The 22,208-nt window shown below is 45.3% G+C and overlaps 1 protein-coding gene across 2 annotated transcripts in view, besides 4 other annotated features; it reads left to right on the top strand.

Annotated features, from left to right (window-relative positions):
* Positions 12,461-12,610: a silencer, noted in NCBI's record as "silent region_14665". NCBI's record gives its function as "represses an Ori minimal core promoter by ATAC-STARR-seq in GM12878 lymphoblastoid cells {active_cell/tissue: GM12878}" and the evidence as "EXISTENCE:reporter gene assay evidence [ECO:0000049][PMID:35858748]".
* SLC12A8 (solute carrier family 12 member 8) overlaps positions 12,542-22,208 on the top strand; it is a 130,105-nt gene continuing 120,438 nt past the window's right edge. Inside the window, exons 1-2 of one of the 2 annotated variants that reach the window (NM_024628.6) lie at positions 12,542-12,590; positions 13,896-13,991. In NM_024628.6, the coding sequence (NP_078904.4) occupies positions 13,941-13,991 (51 nt within the window). In that variant the 5' untranslated portion in view covers positions 12,542-12,590; positions 13,896-13,940. Of the gene's footprint in view, positions 12,591-13,890; positions 13,992-22,208 lie in introns of those variants that run through there. The other variant, NM_001195483.2, reaches the window with a different exon arrangement.
* Positions 12,651-12,870: a silencer, noted in NCBI's record as "silent region_14664". NCBI's record gives its function as "represses an Ori minimal core promoter by ATAC-STARR-seq in GM12878 lymphoblastoid cells {active_cell/tissue: GM12878}" and the evidence as "EXISTENCE:reporter gene assay evidence [ECO:0000049][PMID:35858748]".
* Positions 12,822-13,421: an enhancer, noted in NCBI's record as "H3K27ac-H3K4me1 hESC enhancer chr3:124930713-124931312 (GRCh37/hg19 assembly coordinates)". NCBI's record gives its function as "activates a minimal SCP1, AML or CMV promoter by ChIP-STARR-seq in naive H9 embryonic stem cells {active_cell/tissue: H9 hESC(naive)}" and the evidence as "EXISTENCE:reporter gene assay evidence [ECO:0000049][PMID:30033119]".
* Positions 12,881-12,930: a silencer, noted in NCBI's record as "silent region_14663". NCBI's record gives its function as "represses an Ori minimal core promoter by ATAC-STARR-seq in GM12878 lymphoblastoid cells {active_cell/tissue: GM12878}" and the evidence as "EXISTENCE:reporter gene assay evidence [ECO:0000049][PMID:35858748]".

Raw genomic sequence — 22,208 nt, 5'->3', positions numbered from 1 at the left:
TCAAGTGACTGGGAAAACTCAAGTTTAGAAATGGACTTGAATTGTTAGAGAACATTTGAGCATTTGCATATTTACCTACTAATACAGATGAACTTTTAAAGTTGTAACCTTAATTTTCCCTAGCTTCTCATTCTTAATAAGGTTCTGAAAATAAGATGTTGTGTCAAGGTGGGGAAGGGAGCCAAAGAAATGCCTTGCCCAAGGTAGGAACTGTGTTTTCTATTGATCTGAGTCTTACTGGGGCCGACTTCTTTGACCCTGCGTTCATTCAGCACCAATCATCTATTTAATAACAGGCATTGTGCTCCATGCAAATAATAGGTGGTTGAGGCCATTAGCATCTTTATTTGACCATGTGAAAGGTATTTATAGTGTTATCAATTGCAGGTTGCAGTATTGTACTTTAGATTATTCAAGCAAACAATGAGTGTTAAGATGTGTTGAGTGCTATGCTGAGTAATATCATCCCTCAAACTTGTAAGTACATTTATTCCCTTTGTTAGGATAGGATTAGAAAATATAATCTTAATAAATTTCACAAGATAGAAAATATATACAGACTAAAAAAGTGGAAATAGGGAACATTGTCAAAAATTATACTCTACCTAAAGTAACAAAGTTAGGGATAGGATTCAAGCCTGGACTGTGGAAATGAGAAACAGACTTTGTTTTGAAGGAACTGACCTACCACAGGACTGAGGTTCACACACATTAGAGTGAAAATACACTAGAGGGTCACCTGTACCCCACTGCGGGGTTGGAAATGGGTGGTGAGAGATGGTTTCCTGGAAGTGGAGAAATAACTAAACCAAGGCTGATTCGTCATTCTAGCAGTCTTCATGGAAAGGTATTAATATTTTAAACACCTTGAAGTCATATGCTACTTGTTCAATCCTCCCAGACTACGATTATGTTTATGGTACTTCATGTTAAATAACTTCCAGCTGTCCCTTTGTATGATTCTCTTTCTCTTCCTTGGCCATTTCCTTCAAGGTATTTTGGCCTCTGCCAAACTTACCTTTTAAACTTCCGATATGGTAGTTTTCCCTATGGGAAAACTATGGAAGTTTCAGCACCATCACCCTAACGCAACTTTTGTGAAGACAGTATGAGGGTTAAGCCTGATTGCTAGATCACGAAATGGCTGAAAGAGGACACAGCAGAGTAAATGCATGCAGAGTGATTTGAGACCTCACAGAAGATGGCTGAGAGCAGTTTTGTGCGTTGTCGGGGGTGGGGGGGAAGGGGAGAGTAAACACAGAGTCTAGTAATATGTGTGTAAAAAATAGGGTTTCCTTTTTTTGTGGATTGTTTTATGTTTTTTTCGGGGGGAGGGGGATGGAGTCTTGCTCTGTGGCCCAGGCTGGAATGCAATGGCATGATCATAGTTCACTGCAGCCTTGTACTCCTGGGCTCAAGTGATCCTCTTGCTTCAGCCTCCTGAGTAGGTGGGACTACGGGCATGTGCCACCATGCCCCGTTATGTTTATTATGTTGTGTAGAGACAGGGTCTTGGTATGTTTCCCAGGCTTGCTGTTGAACTCCTGGTCTCAAGTGATCACCCTACCTCGGACTAAAAATATCCTTCAAGAAAATACTTCCAAGGCAGTATATCCAATGCTGCATGGGACAGCTTTAAATGAGCTATGCATGTTTTTTGTTGGGGATGATTGTGAGACAGTAGAGCTGTAGTTTGATAATATTCTATAGGCTGCATGGGCAAATAAGGGGCAGTGAAATAAGCAGAGGACTTAAGAGGATTAAATCACTGTTCTGCCTTGATCTATCTGTGTAGCCTCGTTCAAGTCACATATTTTTCTGAACCTCAACTTTTTCATCTGCAAATTAAGGGTAAAGAATGCCTATATGAATTGCTGTGAATGTCAAATCACTTGAGATAATTTGTAAACTGTAAAGTGCTAAATACATACCCTATTCAGATTTTATGTATTTATTTTCTTAAGGAGGTCTCGCTCTGTTGCCCAGGTGGAGTGTAGTGGCATGATCATAGCTCACTGTGTCCTCGAACTCCTGGGCTCTAGAGATCCTCTTGCCTCAGCCTTCTGAATAGCTGAGGCTTCAGGCTTGCTCCATTACATCTAGCTAATCTTTGTTTTATTTTTTATAGAGACAGGGTTTTTTTGTTTGTTTGTTTGTTTATGTTACCCAGGCTGATCTCGAACTCCTGGACTGAAGCAGTCCTCCCTTCTTGGCCTCCCAAAGTGTTGGGATTACAGGTGTGATTACACTGTGCCCAGCCTATCCAGATTTTGAAGCAGCACAAAAGCAAGATAGAGCAGAGTTGGACAAGTGTATTTACTGTATTTACTGTATTCAGTAAATACAGATTCCAAAGTATTTGGAATCTGGAGGGGGCGGGGTGGGAGATGAATAAGAAAATTAAAAAAACAAACAATGTGGAGTAGATTGTATTTCCCATATGCTCTTCTTACAACATGATGTTGGGATTCCTTCAAAAGGAGTAGAGTCTATGTTACCTCCCATTGAGCCTGAGTGGACTTTTTAAGTGCCCCAACCAATAGGAGAAATGGTGGAAATGACACTACATGACTTTGTGGGCTAGGTCCTAAAGGCAATAGAGAGCCTGGCTTCCTCACAATTGGAAGCTTCATCTCATGTAAAGCAGAACATGTAATAACTTTCACTTGCAGACAATATTATCTTTCAAAAGACTGAAGAAGATATGAGAGTCTGTCTGGATTTAATTGACCAACAAGGAATAACTAGTTAGTGAGGCAGAAGTGATAGGAATTTTGTAAATAAGTGATTACTTATCTCATAATTTGTGTTCACTGGGAAATGGAGTACAGCGTATTATAAAGCACATGCCCTAAACCTTAGAAACGCATAATCAAAAAACTTCATTAAAAAACTATGACTCCAGCCTGGGCAACATAGCAGAGACCCCCATCTCTCAAAAAAACTTTTAACACCCAGGTGTGGTGGTGCACACCTGAAGTCCCACCAACTCAGGAGGCCGAGATGGGAGGATCATGAGCTCAGGAGGTTGGGGCTGCAGTGAGCCGTGATTGTGCCACTGCACTCCACTCTGGGTGTCAGAGTGAGACCCTGTCTCAAAAAAAGTATGATTTCATTATCACATACACTGAACGGGATGGAACATTGTGGACGAAGTCTAAACAACACTGACATACATTGCCACAAATGAGAAACAATAAGCAGAAGTGTCATCCTACAAAAGTAAGGGAATATACTGAGGTGGAAGTCCCCACTTTCTCACTCCTAAGCTATTGGTTAGTCAGGAACGGGAACCTGGCTGACCCATGAGGCAAAAGCAAAATTATGGACAATGAGGTTAGGATGTTGGAACCACTTTTTTCTCTCTTCCTTTTTTTCTCTTACATTATTTTTCTTTCACTATTTCTGCCCCTTCTTTGCTATTCTTTTTATTTCTTTCTCCTGAGTGTCTATACCATAATCACAGGTATACATCGAATAGAAACAACCAGCAGATGCTATGTGATGAGTTTTGAAGCCCTGCCTCTCATGCAGGTTAGGTTTATTTGTTTTTTTTTTAAGTATTCATATTTCAGGAACATTCAAAACTAAATTGATCATCAGGAGAAGATTGTGAGACCCCCTGGATTAGATTGTAAGCTTCTTAAAGGCATTAAGTTCAGAGAGCATAAAGCTACCTCACACAATGAGCAAGTGTGAATGAATGAACAATGCTAGGGGGTACAGGAGGCATTCGGAGGGCTATTTGAAGGTATTAGAAGTGTGGTGGAAATTCAGTGGCATTAAGATGATGCTGTCATCCAGGAGCCTGGAAATGCCAGAATTCTGCACTCAATTACAACTCGCACTTGCCATAACCTTCAAAAAAAATTCCGTAAAGTGGCACACAAGAATCAATGGCCAGTGGGAAACAAGGCACCCTCTTAATACAATATGTGCTATGCCCATTTCCCAAACCCTAGTATAGAAATGAGCTAGAGGATGTGGCTGGAACTGTAAGGCCTCTAGAGCCACTTCCTTCCCCTTGGCACCTTACCACCTCGTGCTGACCGGGGCATCTCAGTATATGAGAATCGAATGAATAAGGAGTAGGATGGCCAGGACTCATCAGTGAGCAGGTGGGCCCCAGCCCTTTTCTCACTGCTCCAGTTGCATAGGAGCAAAGAAAAGAAGAAGCAAAAAAGAGACATGTCCACATGTGAGGCTTAGTAATGGAAAATGCTCACTGCTGGATGGGGTTCAGTAAGTATTCTATGATCTAATCAATCAGGCCACTCCTGGAGGGCAGGGCTTGTGAATATTTCTCAAATTCTTTGGAACCCTCCCTCCCTTTACTACTACCACAGCCCAAACCACCTTCAGGTCTTGCCTGGGTTTCTGTAAGTTCCTGTACATGCATTCTTCTTGGCCTCTGGTTCTTGCTCCACATAACAGCCATGCGTCAGAAGCTTCCCAGTTGTTACTTGGAGAAACATGGCATTCCTTACCTTGGCCCTGTGAGGTCATCTGCTGCTCGTAGCCCCCGCCTTCCCTACAGTAAGGCTCTCATCCTCTCTCCTCTTTCACCACTGGACTGCTTTCAGCTTCGGATACTTGGTCATGTCCTCTTGGGCTACAAAGGCACTATTTTCTCTCTACACTCCATTAAACCTCCTACTCCCACCCCATACATCCCTTGGATTTCAGCCCTAGCATCACTTTCCCAGAAAAGCGTATCCTGATTTTCCTGATTAGGTCACATTAACCATTTCAGAATCTCTCTCATCACTCTGTACAGTTTCTCTAGCCTCTAGACGGCTGTTTGTAATGTGTGAGCATTTGATGAAAGTCTGTCTTGCCCGCCTGCCTGGAGCGGTCTTGCTTCCCACTCTGTGTTCTGTGTTGGCCACAGTCGGTGAGCAACAGATGTTTGGTGAATGTGGTTGAAGGAGGGGATGCAGGCCCCTGAGTTATATCCAAGGATGGAAAGAGAAGCTTGCCGGTCCGGCAGAAGAATCACTCGCAGGGAGTTTGAGGCTCTGGATAACTGCCGTAAGACCAGAAAACTGGACATGTGATTTTCAAAATGGGAGGGAAAATAGTGGATTGTGAAAACGAGATAGCTGATCTGGATTTCAGTCCCCAGTAAAATTCTAGAATGTTCATAACCACTCTGCCAGGTAGGCTCGGCAGGTCTTAATCATTAACTCCATGCTACAAGTAAGAAAATGGAAGCTTAGACACATTGGAGACCGTGGGCAAGGTCATAGAGTGAAGAGGGAGAATCAGGTCTCAGATCCAGACCTGACTTCTCTCATCTACACTCTAGACAGCCTGTCACTGGGTCTGCCGTAGATGGTATTTGAGGAAAAGCTAATGCTAATCACTTTGTTGTCACAGTCTAGTGAGGCTGCCACTGTCATCATAAAATAATCTGGACCCTGTTTCTCTGGCTCCTTTCTGCATCTACATTTTGTTTTGTGCTCCCACCAGGTCCCAGCCCATGACAGATGCCAGGTGGCTGATAGAGGCAGAATGACTTTCTCTTGTCAGGGCAAACCCCCAGAATCAACAAATAGCCTAGATCCTGGAGGAGAGACCTGTCCAACAGGAGCTGAACACCCGACACCAGGAAAGCTGCGGCCCTTCCCTCTCCACTCAGTCTTACCAGGGAAGCCAGAGGAGGAGACTGGCCTGCCCCAACTTCCCTGGGAGCCAGGCTCTCTCAGCCTGTGTGAGGGCTTGTGCTTTGTTCCGGCCTGCATCTCCCGAGTCACCCCCTCCCAGCTCCCCGGAATGCTGGGTGGCCCTCTGGCAGGACACCCTCTTGGACCTGGGGCTCTTGGAATTGCATGTCAAAGTCCATGAAGAAGGAAAACTTTTTTCTGTTTTATCTCTTCACCTGGATTAAAGAGGTTGCATTGTGCAGAGGAGAGAGCCTGGCATTGGAATGAGACCTATGTTCCAATCTCGGCTCCACCCTCAGAGCCGGCAAACCCTTGTGAGTGTGTGCAGAATTCCTGTGATTTTTTTAAATACGCAGGCTTGCCCCAGGGAGGTGCATCACAATGACCAACTAAAACATATATATGCAGTTTATATAATTACTCTCTTTAAATAGTAAATTACTTGTGCTGCCTTAGTGATATATCCACCTTCTCCCTGTCATTGAAAATTGTAACTACAATAAGACACCACTGCCAACAAGATGTATTCCATCTCTCAGGTGTTTTGAAGAGGGGAAAAAATACTATCGGGCTAGAAATCTCATGATTTTCAAACCTTGGCTGAGCATTAGAATCATCTGAGAAGTTTAAAGAAAATGCTGATTTCTAGGCCCCACCCCAGACCAATTAAGTAATTAAGTCAGAATATCTGGAGGTGGGTCCCCCAGGTATTGGTATTTTCTGAAACCACCCCTAGGTGATTGTAAAATGTGCACCACACTAGGTGAGCCACCTCTCGAGGCACTTTTGACTGTGGTTCCAGGGCCTAGGCTGTGAGATAGATATGTTTTTGTGTACATACCTATTCACATCATGACTTAATGTTTTCAACCTGCTTTCCCATTCCTATTCTGGTTGACCTTTTCGGAGCCCTGATCTCCCTCCAGGGTTCAGACTTTCTGACAAATGACGCTATCTTTCAGGTTATGATTTTGTTGCCAGCCTTCACACAGATGGCATTTCTCAGTGCCAGCCACTGGAAGGAAAGAGGTGAGGGAGCATCTGGCCTCTCGAAGTGCTGGGATTACAGGCCTAAGCCACCACACCCGGCCTTAAATTCACCTTTTCTTCTATTCAGTAACAACTCAAGGTCAAGGTGAAGCACACAGTAGTGAGCCTATTGCTTTGTGTGTCTCACCTAGCTCAGGCAGGTGGATCACCTGAGCTCGGGAGTTCAAGACCAGCCTGGCCAACATGGTGAAACCCCATCTTTACTAAAAATACAAGATCACCTGGGCATGGTGGTGCATGCCTGTAATTCCAGCTACTCGGGAGGCTGAGGCAGGGGAATCACTTGAACCCAGGAGGTGGAGGTTGCCATGAGCCAAGATTGTGCCATTGCACTCCAGCCTGGGCAACAAAAGCGAAACTCCGTCTCAAAAAAAAAAGTGAGTTTTAATAGCAATATTATTCTTTTTATATATATAACCGGGCTTCAAAAACAGTGAATTCAAACAATGAAATAAATAGAAATACTTTGAAGGGAAATAAAATGTTTTTTTTTTAACCTTGGTTGGATGCTCTAGGTATTCACTATCACTGCGTAACAGATTACCCCAAACCTTAGTGGCTTACAACAACAACAATGATTTATTTTCTCTTATGGGTTCTGTGAGTCAGGAATTCAGACAGAGCCCAGCAAGCACAGCTTGTCTTTGCTCTACAATGCCTGGAGCCTCCGCGGGCGGCTGGAATCATCTGCAGGCTTGTTTCACTCACATGTCCAGTGGTTGACACTGGCTATTGGCTGGAACACCAACATGTGGCCTCTCCATGTGGCTTCCTCACAACATGGTGGCTGAATCCCAAGGGTAAGTGCACTGACAGTGAGGAAGCCAGGCTCCGTATTGCCTTTAGGACCTAGCCCACAAAGTCATGTAGTGTCATTTCTGCCATTTCTCCTGTTGGCTGGGGCACTTAAAAAGGTCCACTCAGGCTCAGTGGGAGGTAACATAGACCCTAACTCCTTTTGAAGGAATCCCAACATCATATTGTAGGAAGAGCATATGGGAAATACAATCTACCCCACATTGTTTGTTTTTTAATTTTCTTATTCATCTCCCACCCCACCCCTTCCAGATTCCAAAGTAACGTATGCTTGTTGCAAGAAAAAATAAATAAATAAAAATCCAGAATTGACTGGTTTGGCGGCTCATGCCTATAATCCCAGCACTTTGGGAGGCTGAGGCAGGAGAATTGCCTGAGACCAGCCTGGGCAACAGAGACCCTGTCTCTACCAGAACAACAACAACAAAAATTCAGAATTTATACACCAAAGTCTATACTCACTATCTCAATCCCTCCCTGGAGATAACCACTATTAACAGATTGATGTGTATTTTTTTTTCTTTTCTTTCTTTCTTTCTTTTTTTGTTTTTTGAGATGGAGTTTTGTTCTTGTTGCCCAGGCTGGAGTGCAATGGTGCAATCTCGGCTCACCGCAACCTCCGCCTCCCTGGTTCAAGCGATTCTCCTGCCTCAGCCTCCAGAGTAGCTGGAATTACAGGCATGTGCCACCATGCCCGGCTAATGTTTTTGTATTTTTAGTAAAGACGGAGTTTTTCCATGTTGGTCAGGCTGGTCTTGAACTCCCGACCTCAGGTAATCCAACCGCCTCAGCCTCCCAAAGTGCTGGGATTACAGACATGAGCCACCGCGCCCGGCCATATTTTTCTATACAAACCACATATATGTGTGTGTGTGTGTGTGTGTGTGTGTGTGTGTGTGTGTGTGTGTGTACACTGCTTTTTAAAACAACACTATACATTATTCTTCGACTTGCTGTGTTTATTCATTATTATGTGATGAACAGAGTTCCATGATAGCATGTATAGAAACATTTAATTCTTTGCTTCTTTTTTTTTTTTTTTGAGATGGAGTCTCACTCTGCCACCCAGGCTGGAGTGCAGTGGCACCATCTCAGCCCACTGCAACTTCCGCCTCCCAGGTTCAAGCAATTCTTGTGCCTCAGCCTCCCAAGTAGCTGGGGTTACAGGCACACGCCATGATACCTAGCTAATTTGTTTTGTATTTTTATTAGAAATGAGGTTTTTAGGACGAGGCAGGTGGATCACCTGAAGTCAGGAGTTCGAGACGAGCCTGGCCAACACGATGAAACCCTGTCTCTACTAAAAATACAAAAATTAGCCAGGTGTGGTGGCTGGCGCTTGTAATCCCAGCTACTCGGGAGGCTGAGGCAGGAGAATCACTTGAACCTGGCAGGCAGAGGTTGTGGTGAGCCAAGATCATGCCACTGTACTCCAGCCTGGCAACAGAGTGAGATTCCGTCTCAAAAAAAAAAAAAAAAAAAAAAAGGAAATGGGGTTTTTATTTTTTGTATTTTTATGAGAAATGTTGGCCAGGCAGCTGGGCACAGTGGCTCATGCCTGTAATCCCAGCACTTTGGGAGGTTGAGGGGGCGGATCACGAAGTCAGGAGTTCGAGACCAGCCTGGCCAACATGGTGAAACCCCGTCTCTACTAAAAATACAAAAATTAGCTGGACATGGTGGCAGGCGCCTGTAATCCCAGCTATTCGGGAGGCTGAAGCAGGAGAATCGTTGGAACCCAGGAGGCAGAGGTTGCAGTGAGCCGAGATCATGCCATTGCACTCCATCCAGAGCGACAGGGCGAGGCTCTGTCTCAAAAAAAAAAAAAAAAAAAAAACAAATGTTAGCCAGGCTGGTCTCAAACTCCTGACCTCAGGTGATCCGCCGGCCTCAGCCTCTCAAAGTGCTAGGATTATAGGCGTGAGCCACTGCACCCAGCCCAGAAACACCTAATTATTTCTAATGCCAGCTGTCATAGTATGGCTGTACCGTTTATCTAAGCAGTCTTCTGTTGATGGACATTTAGGTTGTTCTCATTGTTTAAAGTATTACAAAGTAATGATGCAACAAACATGCTTTTCCTAGTTCATGTAGGGCAGTATCTTCAAAATGGCAATGTTTAAAGGATATGCAGGATACTATCTCTCTCTCTCTCTTTTTTTTTTTTTTTTTTGACAGAGTCTTACTCTGTCGCCCAGGCTGGAGTGCAGTGGCATGATCTCAGCTCACTGCAACCTCTACCTCCCAGGTTCAAGCAATTCTCCTGTTTCAGCCTCCCGAATCACAGGTGCCTACCATCACACCTGGCTAAATTTGGTATTTTTAGTAGAGACAGTTTTTCACCATGTTGGCCAGGCTGGTCTCGAACTCCTGACCTCAGATGATCCACCTGCCTCAGCCTCCCAAAACTCTGGGATTACAGGTGCAAGCCACCTCGCCCAGCCAGGATACTATTTTTCAACATGAGGTTTTTTGTTTTTGTTTTTGTTTTTTTGTTTTTTTAAGGTTAGTGTTATTGTTATAAGAAAAATCTACATTAAGCAGGATATATATATATTTTTCTTTGCAAAGGGCAGGTTTCTGTAGCCTTAACATGAAGAAAATAAACAACTATATTTGTTTCTGGGTTTAGAAGATGCTTATAAGCTTTGAAGGGAACTTCTCATTTATTTAGAAAATGACGAGTGACAGGAAGTAGGTGGTTATAAAGCGAGAGGTGGATTCCCCATTCTAAAGTTTTTAACTCAGGCTGATATGGAATTGAATGCAGATTCTTCAAAATTCATGTTGACACTTAGAGGGAGACTCATCGGAAGGTGACAGCAAACAGGAAACCAGCTTGAGGCAAAAAAAAAAAAAAAAGAGCAGTGTCATGTATGACCCACCAAAAGTGAATAAGAAAAATGACTCTGCTGATCATTCTGATGAATCTGTGGAAATACAGTCAGCCCTTCATATCTGTGGATTTGACCAAGGCAGGTCAAAAATATTTGGTTAAAAAAAAAAGCATGGTTGCAGCTGTACTGAGCATGTACAAAGTTTTCTTCTTGTCATTATTCCCTAAACAATACAGTATAACAACAATTTACATAGTTTTTTTTTTTTGTTTGATTGTTTGTTTGTTTTTTTTTTAAGACAGGATCTCACTCTGTCACTCAGGCTTTAATGTAGTGGTATGATCATGGCTCACTAGAGCCTCAACCTCCTGGGCTCAGGCAATCCTCCCACCTCAGCCTCCCAAGTAGGTGGGACTACAGGCATGCACCACCATGCCCAGCTAATTTTTAAAATTTCTTTTGTGGGGAAAAGAATAGGCTCTCACCGTGTTGCCCAAGCTGGTCTTGAATTCCTGGGCTCACGTGATCCTCTCACCTTGGCCTGGAGATTTGGAATTTTTGTAATTCCAAAGTGCTGGAATTACAGGTGTGAGCTACTGTGCCTGGCCTTGAATTAGGTATTATACGTAATCTGGAGATGACTTAAAGTATGTGGGAGGATGTGTGTAGGTTAAATGCAAATACTACATCACTTTATATCAGGGACTTAAGCATCTACGCATTTTGGTATTGGTCAGGGGGCCTGGAACTAATTTCCTGCAGATGCCAAGCGGTGACTGCATAATGGATTCCAGTAACGTGACTGTGTCAGCCTGTCCGCCCATTCATCCTTTGTTCACAGATGGTTAATCTGTAACTTTTGGGGGGTCTTTTTTTCTGGCAGAGATGGGTTATTAAAAATTTCTTTGCTGGGAATGAAATTCTGACACATGCTACAACATGGATGAACCTTGAGGACATTATGCTGAGTGAAGTAAGCCAGACACAAAAGGACAAGTATTGTATGATTCTACTTACATGAAATACACAAAATAGGTAAATCCATAGAGACGGGAAGTAGATGAGGGGAGTTACCTCTGAGGGTAGACGAAACGGGGAGTTAGTACTTAGTGGGTACAGAGTGTCTATTGGGGACGATGAAAGTTTTGGAAATAGCGATGATGGTTGGACAATATTGTGTGTGATTAATACCACTGAACTGTACAGTTAAAATGGTAAAAATGGCAAATATGATGTTCTATATCTTCACACGCGTCTTTGCTGGAGCAGAAGCGAGAGGTTAGGTTCTGTCAGTGTTCCCATGGCTTAGCCTTCCCTTTTGTTTTTAGAAGAACAACCTCTATTTTTAGGGATTTTCACACAAAGGCTTGTGGGCGTGGGAAGTTCTCCCAGCTGCCCTCCTGTTTCTCAGAAGCCCACATGGAAGCCTCTCAAATTATTTAAGGTTTAGGAAATATGCCAGATTGGGAATGGAGATAATTTAATCTCTCTGTATGTTAATTTAGGGTTCTTTTTTTCTGCAACATGAGGCCCTGGAAACCTTACTTCACCCCTAGGAAAGGCAGTTCTGGGTCTTGGTGAAGGGGGTAAGGGTAATTCACCCCTACACAGCATGCCCAGAGCGCTTTCCTGGCAAAAGCAGTTCCACGCCCTCAGAGTCTGGGGTCACCTGATCACGCAGCCAGGCACACACGGAGACCCCCGGTACCGGGGTCTCGGTCAGCTTGTCCAGATTCTTCTCCACATCTGCCCAGGGGGCTGCGGGTTTCCCTGCACTCCGGGCTTATCCCGGGCTTTCTCAGTCCTGCGTGCAGTGCTCACAGCCACTCCTCAGAGCCGCACAGGGTAGGCTCCTGTCCCTAGTCCCCTGGTCCCGGGGCTGGGCATTTCCGCTGGTTGCACTGTCGAGGGGGGAGAGGCAGTGGCTGGTCACTTCGAGCCTGTGGGCTTGCGGCCCCTACTCCCTGTTTTCCCCCAGCCCTGCCCCTACCCAGGTGAATGTTCTTGTCCAGGTAGGCGCGAAGGCCCGACCCTTGCGGAGGGAAAGCCTCTGCAGCGCCTCCTCGCCACCTGGGCCCGAGACTCCCGGTGCTGGCGTGGCAGGGGTGCCCCCGCCGGGACGGGACAGCTGGGACCCGCGCAGCCGAGCCGGGGCAGCCACGTGGCGGCGGGGCGGGGACCGGGCGGGCCGGGCGCTGGGAGCTGGCTGTCCCAGGAGCAGGTGAGGGCGGAAGGGCTGTGGGGGGTGGAGAGGGTGGTCTCGGGACAGTTCCTCTCCCCGGCCCGCAGTTAGGAGCCAGGCCTGGGGTCACCTTTGCCCCCACCTCCCCGCCCAGGTGGATCCTCTCCTACCGCCGGTCACCCGCGCGCCGGCACACGGGCCTGGCCCCAGTACTTGGGGTGCGGGTCCGCGTCTGCGTGGGGTGCCAAGGGGCCCGGGTCCCAGCGTGGCCCAAACGTGAGGGTAGGGGCTCCGCGGAGGAGCCAGGTGAATGTGGGCGGAGGCCTGCGGGGCGGCCTGCGGAGGCCGCGGGGCGGCGGGAAGGGCGAGCGGAGGCCTGGGGTCCCTTGCTCTGTGCGGCGCGGGCAGCCGGGGACACCCGGGTGCTCTGGCTCCCTACCTGTCACCCGGCTTTTGGCAGGACTGCAGCCCACCAAGTCCCCCAGCCTTCCCAGCTTCCCACTGGGCTAACCCTCCTCTCCCAACCCCCCACTCAGTGCTCCGGGCGCCTTCCCTCCTCGCCAGCGCTGGCTGCTGTCCTTAGTCGCCTTCTTCCCAGGAAGATCAGCTCTAACCCTCCCCCTCGCTCTCTTCCTCCCCCTTCCTCCTTCTACCAAAGGGTCCTGAGCCCCGTCTACCTTGCAGCACTGTGCTGGGGAGAGGCGCCACACAGATCAAGGGGACAAACTCCCTCCTCCCCTCAAGGAAAGCCAGGTCCAGCGCGAAGGGGAGGGTGCCTGGGGGTGGGTTGAGGAGCTGCCCTAGTCCTGTCCAGCCTTTTCTCACTCACCCTCTTCAATCTCCTACCCTTCTCCGGCCCTGCTCCAGAAGGGCCCCAAAACAGCCTCCTCATGGCCCCTCTCCCCTCTGCTCAGGGCGCAGCTACATTCACTCACCACCTGCAGCCAGGTCTAGTGCGTCATGATGCCCTCCTCCTGGAGAGAGGGGTTCACGAGGCACTTGAGGGTGGGAGAGGAGTGTGACTCTGTGTCCTCAAGGGCTGGGCAGCAGGGCAGCTGGCTCTGACCCTCACGTATTTAAGGAGCTCAGGGAAGGAGAGAGCTGGGAGTGCCTGAGGTTCTAGGGCAGCAAGGTTTGAGCACAGGTGGGCACTGAAGGACCAGCGGGATCTACCTGGGTACCAAAAAGGTAACCCGGCCAAGTTTCCAGATGAGGTAGACAAGGTTTCTTCCTCAGCCAGGGCCTCGCCTGGTAGTTTGAACAATTCTAGTAGAGAGAAAGGATGGACAACAAGGGGAGAGGAGAGGAGAAGCCAGCCTGACCAAGGATGCTGTTACCTTCCAGAGCAGTCTCCCTGTCCAGATCACCAGGATCCCTGCTTGCTGGAGAATGACCCAGATGTCCCAGGTGCAGGAGCTCTTCCATGAGGCAGCCCAGCAGGTAGGCTCAGGATGTGCCAGGGTCTGTGATGGAGGCCTGTGAGCACGGGGATCCCCAGACAGTGGGCTGGATGCAAACATTACAGCGCACCCTTTAGATGTAATTAACTCCAAAGTCTATTTTGGTCATCCAGTTCAATGAGAAAATATTATAGCCAAAATATTATAGCCATTATTAACTGTTCATATACAGAAAACCTTTGGCATTATTTGTGGTGGATTTTGAATCCTGGGATCCCCCACAACTCCAAACTCCATCCTGAGAGGTCTTCCACAGACAGTCACAGTGAGGACTCAGATAATATGAACTCATTTTAATTCTGAATCAAACCAATGTAAGAAGGTAAATTTATTTCTGAAAAAACTCTTATGTTCTGAAGCCAAAAGGATTTCTGAATGCCCTGGTGTTTGCTATTTTTTTTTCTTCTTTTTTCTTTATCTTCTCCCTGCTGATCATTAGTTACATGCATTCTGTAGATATGGAATTGAAGTGGCTCTACCCAGAAATGGAGAGCTGATCCCTTAAGAAATAATAATAATAATAAACCATACTAAAGTGTTTATCCAGAAACTATGTGCACCCAGGGTCTTTGCCATCCATGATCACTCAACATGAAGTTTTCACCATCCCTTGGGTTTCTTTCCTGCTTCTAGAGAGTGGCAGGAGGGTTTCCCAGCCTTGTAACAGGGGGACAAGCCCCATCAGAGGGGAGAGAATCAACAATGAACAAGAAACCCAGACAGAAAATGTGAGGCCCAGGAATTCCCAAAGGAGAGACAAATAAGACATTCTGAGATCTCCCCTGTGATGGCATCTGTTCCTCTCTCCCCTGTTTAAAACCTTCAGTGTCTCCTCATGTGCACCACTCAGGGCTCAAACTCTTCAGCCTCAGCCCTATACAGTCTGACCCCACCTGAGTCTCAAGTCGAGTTCCCCACATCTTCTTCTTCCTGCCACACCTTCCAGCTGAACCACACCATTCCCCAGAGCTTATATCTTTCCCTTGATCTTTGCTGATGCTTCTTATCAACAATTTGTCACTGAAACCTTCACCCAAGTATTTAAGTGGTATTTAAGTATTTAAATTGGTATTTAAGTGGACAGTAAATTTTAGTTGATTGATCACATGAACAAACAACAGAAAACCACAATGCAAGTTAAATTGTCATAAGTGCCCTAAGAGAGAGTTGATTTCTAAAATGTGATGGATACAATGACCTCTGTGTTGCCTCCTTCTCCCTTAATAGCTAAACATCGAAGGATTGGACATGGCCCAATGCCCAATTTTAAGGCCTTTGGTGTTCATGATTTAGAAATCCATCCTTTCTTTCTCTCTCCCTCCCCTGCACTGTCTTGTTAAGGTACCATTTCTTGATTGGATGATTCATACTCTCCTAAGTTCTTTTTCCACATTGCTACTAAAGTGATGCTTTTATGAAGCATAGATCTGTGCATTTGACCCCTCTGCTTAAATTCCTTCAATAGCTTCTCACTGCCTTCAGAATTCAGCTCAGACTCCTCATCTTGGCCGCCAGGGCCCTCCGTGATGGTTAACTCACCCCTTCTGTTCCACAGCATCCTGTGTCACTGCACTTACCATGTAGCATTGAAATGAGCTGCTTCTTTTCTGTCTCCCTTAAAGCTGTGAACTTAAATTCAGGGGCATGTCTTATTTATTTTTGTATCCCCAATACCTGGCATGGTGTGTTGTGTATAGAAGTTGCCCCATCAGTGTTGGTTCTACTGAACTGAACTTACCTGGCTAGGAATTGGGTGAGTTGCCATTTGCATTAAGTCTTAAAGTAATGGTGGAAGTGGAACATATGGTGGACTTGGGAAGCATATTCCAGGTGGGAGGGTGAGAAAATGATAATAGCTACCAATTAGTGGGCACTTACTGTATACTGAGCACTTAATATGCATTACCTCATTTATCTCCACTACAACATTCTGAAGTTGATATGATTATTTTGGTTTGACACAAGAATAACTGTAGCACTGTAAAGCCAGGCATGTTTGATGCCAAGTCCCAAGCTTTCATCCTTTTTGCTATGTGCCTCCTGCTCCAAATGGTATAAGCAAAGCCACCCAGATGGCAAATTAAGGACCTCTGCGTGGGAACAGAGAGTAAGTTAGGTGGCTAAAATGCTGGAAGCTGAACTCTAGGAGTGGCTAGCCCTCAAGAAATTTCCTGGGAACCTTTGAACAATTTTATTCCAGTCTTGGGGATCAGAAATTCTGCTAGGAGCTTTGGGGCCTGCAGAACACAAGATTAGGAGGCAGTGCCCAGTGGGAAGACAGGCTAGTGGGTGTCATGCCACCTTCAGTCTTGACCTGCTCTTCTCTTGGTCACGGTGATTAGAAAGTGGCTCACAGGAAGTTTGGCAAGGGTGGGGACACTTGGAAGTTAGGTGGAGGGTGAATGAATGGACTCTTGGTTTGGCTTTAATCATTTTAGGACCAGATAGGGTAGCTCTCTCTCTCTCTCTCTCTCTCTCTCTCTCTCTGTGTGTGTGTGTGTGTGTGTGTGTGTGTGTGTGTGTGTGTGTGTAGATTGGTCAGTAATAAGTGAACCAGCTGGGAAGGAGCTGTAGATCTGAGTGTTAATGGTGTGGTGGTCGAGGGTGCATGTGCTGCCTGGGTCAAGTCCTGGCTCTAATACTTTGTGACCTTGAACAAGTTTCGTAACCTCACTAAGCCTCCGTTTCCTCACCTACAAAATGACTGCCCAGTGATTGAAACTACCATAGAGAATGAAGACAATTAAAAGAGATAATTTGTGTAAATATTTGGTATAGTGCTTGGTTCCTGGTCAGCATTCAGCTTATATTATATAAATGGCTAATAATTAAACTAAGGGGAGTATGTATTTAATCCAGGGGGTAGTGGTATAAATGAGCAGAAGGATCCATTGGCAAATCAATGCATGACTCAGCACAGCTGAGTCAGGCAGAAGACATAAGGCAGGAGTCTCAAACCCAAAATCATACCTTGGGCCAACACCAGAATGTGGGACATTGTTCCAGACAACCTGCTGGGTGGGCAGTCTATTGAGGATGATGTGTGCTTTCTAGGCCTGGGTGAGTCTGGAGTGGTTTGGGAATGTGAGTGTGTGTTTGGAGACCCACCGAACTTCTGGCAGGCCAAGCCTTGTTCCAGGGGCCTCTGTCTGGAGGCACTTTGTGTGCTCTGGTGGTAGACTCAAACCTGGGTTCTGGGTTTCCCATTCTGACTGTGCTGCTGGATAGGCTGGGCCCTTGGGCAAGTTACCCACAGGCTCCCAGTCTATTTCCACAACTATGTGATGGGGTGAGTGGACCTGATTCTCAGGGTTTTTATGAGATTAAAGGAGATGCCATATGTGGAAGGGTCTGGGCCAGTGCCTCTCTCATGACAAGCACTAAGTAAAATGCTCATTTGATGATTGGATGAAGCCGATCGCACACAGAAGCCCAGCGGAGTAGGCTGTGAAACTTGGGGCTTGAAAACTAAGAAAGAAACAGCCAGTGCAGAGGGAGGTGAACAGAAGGCTAATGAGCCATGATTGGGTGCTTGTCTGTGCCAGGTACTGGACAGACAGGACTGTGACGATCTGGGTGTTTCAGGAAGACTGCGTTGGCAGGAGAAAGCAGGTAGCCTGAGACAAAAACAGATGGCAAGCTGACAAGCTGTGTGGAGGTCTGAAGTCCTGCAGAATCTCATGCTCTTAGCGTTGGGAATAGGGAGAAAACTCGGTTTCATTTACCAGGTGTTTATTGAATGACAGTTCTTGCCAGGATCCCCAGTTCCTGCTGGATATACTAAAACAAGTACAAAACCAACAGCAATCTCCTAGTTCTTATGGAATAAGAAGTGCCTCCAGCTAGCCTGAGGCTTTTGTCTTTCTTCTCTCAGGGTTGGAGGGTCTCAACAGGAACTTAAAAGGGAAGCTGGCCTGAGAATAAGTCACCAAAAACCAATATAACTAGTACACTGGATTCATGCTTTTCTGCATTCTGCTCTACCACAGAGACTTGAAGTGTAGCACTAGTGGGTCCATGTGGACCCTTTTCTAGGAGGTCTGCAGGCCAAAGTCTGGCTAATTATTCTAGAAAAAACCCGCTGCAGGCCGTGGGAGCAGGCTCCCCGTCAGAACCATTGTGACTGGCCCAAGCACAGGAGGAGGAGTTTCCAGGTCGCTGAGACCTGCCTGGGTTCTGACTCTGCTCCGTCTTCTTGTACAGCGTCCCAGCTCTTTCCCTTCTGTGTCCTCTCCTCTCTTGCTCTCTCATGGTTTGTATCTGTGTCCCCACCAAATCTTATGTTTAATTGTAATTCCCAGTGTTGGAGGTAGGGCCTGGTGGGAGATGATTCCATCCTGGGGGTGGTTTCTCACCAATGGTTTAGCACCATTCCCTCGATGCTGTTCTGATAGTGAGTGAGTGAGTTCTCATGAAATCTGGTTGTTTAAAAGTGTGCAGCACCTCCCAGGACCTCTTGCTCCTGCTCTGGTGACATAAGATGCCTGCCTCGCCTTTGCCTTCCACCATGATTGAAAGTTTCCTGAGGCCTCCCTGGAAGCAGAAGCTGCTATGCTTCCCGTACAGCCTGTGGAACCATAAGCCAATTAAACCTCTTTTCTTTATAAATTACCCAGTCTCAAGTATTTCTTTATAGCAATGCACGTACGGACTAATACACACTTTTTCTCTGTCTTTTCCTCTTCAATTAGATGGCTTACCTGAGTTAGCTTGGTGTGGTAAGATAGAGCCTGGTCAAGTTTTGGGGCAATGGTGAATAGAGAAGTGGCACTGGCAAGAGAGGTAGATAGAAATAGAACCAAACAATCAAGACATGGAGGAGTCCTCAGAGATCTTCTGGCCTAGTCCATTTGCTTGTCGTGTCAAGAAGCAAGCCCAGAGACTTGAGTTCCAGCAATAGTGGGTCCAGGAGGACGTAAATATTGAGTGACTTGCCCAGAGCAAGGTTAGAAGGCAGAACCAGGTTAGAAGCAAGGCTACTGGCCCCAGAACACAGCCCTGAGTTGACCCTGACATATCCAATTTTGAGTATGGGTGTCAGGCTTCATTGCAAAAGCTTGGCTCATATTTTCTGAGTGCTCATTAGCCAGTGTATGGTTAAGAACTGACTTTTATTTTTACTATGCATTTTTCAGGGCTGTTTTAGCATCTTTAAAAAGCTATGTGAGCCTCAGCAGCCATGTGCCAGGCAATAGCATATTGCTTTATTAGTAGATGTAGAAAAATGAATGCAGCTGAGGAGGAAGGAAAAGGGAACTTCAGACAAGACAGTCTTGTTAGCCCCTCTTTTTTTTCTTTAAGCATATTTATATCTCTTGAAGCCCCTCTTTTTAAGATGAGGACACTGGGGCCCAAATGGTTGGGTGGAAGAGCAGGGCTCAATTCTGGGATTCCTAGAGCCATGACCCCCTCACTATCCCAGGTCTTGTAGGGCATGAAGCTTATACCATTTTTATGGACTCTCTAGTAAAAAGGATACAAATTGCAAATAGAAAATTTGGCATAATCTTTGGAAGGGACCAAATGCCAAATGATGCGTCCTAAGGCTTAAGCTGTTAGCTTCACCATAAAACCACCTCTGGTCAATGGACGGAAGCAACTTTAAAGGCAGCAGAAGACAAGAGGCTTATGCTCCTGGAGCTGGAGAGAAGTAACAGCAGATCCTGTTCTCAGGATTGAGATGCGGCGGAAGCATTTCATATGCACACTGACATCCTTTCCTCTTTCTCCTCTGTCTTTCCCCCTTTCCACTTTAAAGACCTGTTGGTTACTTTGCCTGAAAATGACAACTGGGCCCCAAATGCTGCATATTTGTAAAAAATAGAGTGGGGACATTTTCTGGATAAAAGTGTCCCACCTAGAAACTGGAGTGAAAGTGTTCTTCACTGAAATGAGTTAGGCAGGGTTCTGTGACTCATTTGTACCCGCCGTATTTTAACTTACAGAGGTGAGAACATGCAGAGGTCGATGCCACTGAAAGATTTCTGTTACTTACCTTGCTTGAGAAGAGAGAATACACTATGCCACGCAGGGTCACAGGGAAGCACCAGGGATGCTCAGGGGGCTGAAGACAGGAGTGAGGGTTTATTGGGGTTTCTGCAGGAGAGGAAAGGCAGGGCACGGTGGACAGCTTAGGACTGGCAGTTTGAACAATTCTAGTGGGCTCTGGGTTATAGGGGTGGCCTCTGGTTGCCGGGTGTCTGGCTCTGGGATGATTGGGGTCAGGAGAAATCTTGGCTTGGTGTGTGAGTTAGATGAGGAGGTGGTCTTTGGTGGTATAGACTCAGCATTGGTTGTTTTGCTTAAGAAAGCTGTGTTCATGGCTAAGCCTTTTGCTCTCTCTGAGAATTGACTAGGTCTGAGAGGGTCAGTCTTTCCTAGGCCAGCAAGATTTTAAAACATTTTTAAGTTGATATATAATAATTATACGTATTTATGGGGGTACATATGATATTTTGGTACATATATACAATGTGTAATGATCAAATCAGGGTAATTGGGGTATCCATCACCTCAAATATTTATCATTTCTTTGTCTTAGGAGCATTTCAAATCTTCTCCTCTAGCTATTTTGAAATATACAATAAGTTATTGTTGACTATAGTTACCCTTCTTTGCTATAGAACACTAGAACTTACTCTTTTTATCTAACTATGCAGTTATACCCATTAACCAACCTCTCTTCATCCCCCCAATCCCCTTCCCACCCTCTGATAACCATCATTCTACTATTTAGCTCAATGAAGTCAACTGTTTTAGCTCCCACATATGGATAAGAACATGTGATATCTGTCTTTCTGTTCCTGGTTAATTTCACTTAACCTAATGACCTCCAGTTCCATCCACGTTGCTGCACATGACAGGATTTCATTCATTTTTATGGCTAAATAGTTTTCCATTGTATACATTTACCACATTTTCTTTATTCATTCATCTGTTGATGGACACTTAGGTTGACTCCTTTTGCTATTGCGAATAGGGCTGCAATAAACATGGGTGTGCAGGCATCCCTTTGATATACTCATTTCCTTTCCTTTGGATAAGTACCCACAGTGGGATTGCTGGATCATATGGTAGTTCTATTTTTAATTTTTAATGAGCTTCCATATTGTTTTCTATAATGCCTGTAATAATTCACATTTTCACCAACAGTGCACAAGGGTTCCCTTTTCTCCAAAGCCCCACAAACACTTGTTATTTTACATTTTTTGGATAATAGTCATTCTAACAGGTGTGAGGTGGTATCTCATTGTGGTTTTGATTTGCATTTCCCTGATAATTAGTGCTGTTGAGCATTTTTTCATGTGCCTGTTGGCCATCTGTGTGTCTTCTTTTGAGGAATGTCTATTTAGATGTTTTGCCCACTTTTTAATGGGATTAGTCATTTTATGCTGTTGAGTTGTTTGAGTTCCTTGTATGTTCTGGATATTAGTCCCTTGTTGCATGAATATCTTGCAAATATTTTATCCCATTCTACAGGTTGTCTTTTCACTCTACTGTTTCCTTTGCAGTGCAGAAACTTTTTAGATCAATATGACCCCATTTGTCTATTTTTGTTTCTGTTGCCTGTGCTTTTGAAATCTTAGCCATAAAACCTTTTCCCAAACCAATGTCCCAAAGCATGCCCCCTATGTTTTCTTCTAGCAGGTTTATAGTTTGGGTGTTACATTTATGTCTTTAATCCATTTTGTGTTGCTTTTTGTATAGGTTGAGAGATGGGGGTCTAGTTTCATTCTTCTGCATGTGGATATACAGTTTTCCTAGTACCATTTATTGAAGAGGGTGTCCTTTCCCCAATATATGTCCTTGGCACCTTTGTTGAAAATCAGTTGGCTGTAAATATGTGGATTTATTTCCAGATTCTCTATTCTGTTCCTTTGGTTTATGTGTCTGTTTCTATACCAATATCATGCTGTTTTGGCTACCATGGCTTTGTAGTATATTTTGAAGTTGGGTAGTGTGATGCTTTCAGCTTTGTTCTTTTTGCTCAGGATTGCTTTGGCTATTCTGGCTTATTTTTTGTTGTTGTTTCATACAAATTTTAGGGTTTTTTTTTTCTATTTATGTGAACAATGTCATTGGTATTTCAATAGGGATTGTATTGACTCTGTAGATTGCTTTGCATAGTATGGCCATTTTAACAATAGTAATTCTTCTCACTAATAATTCTTTTTTTTTTTTTTTTTTTTTGAGATGA

This window comes from Homo sapiens, chromosome 3, assembly GCF_000001405.40.
Source record: "Homo sapiens chromosome 3, GRCh38.p14 Primary Assembly".
Classification (NCBI taxonomy): domain Eukaryota; kingdom Metazoa; phylum Chordata; class Mammalia; order Primates; family Hominidae; genus Homo; species Homo sapiens.
This window is presented reverse-complemented; position numbering and strand designations above follow the sequence as displayed.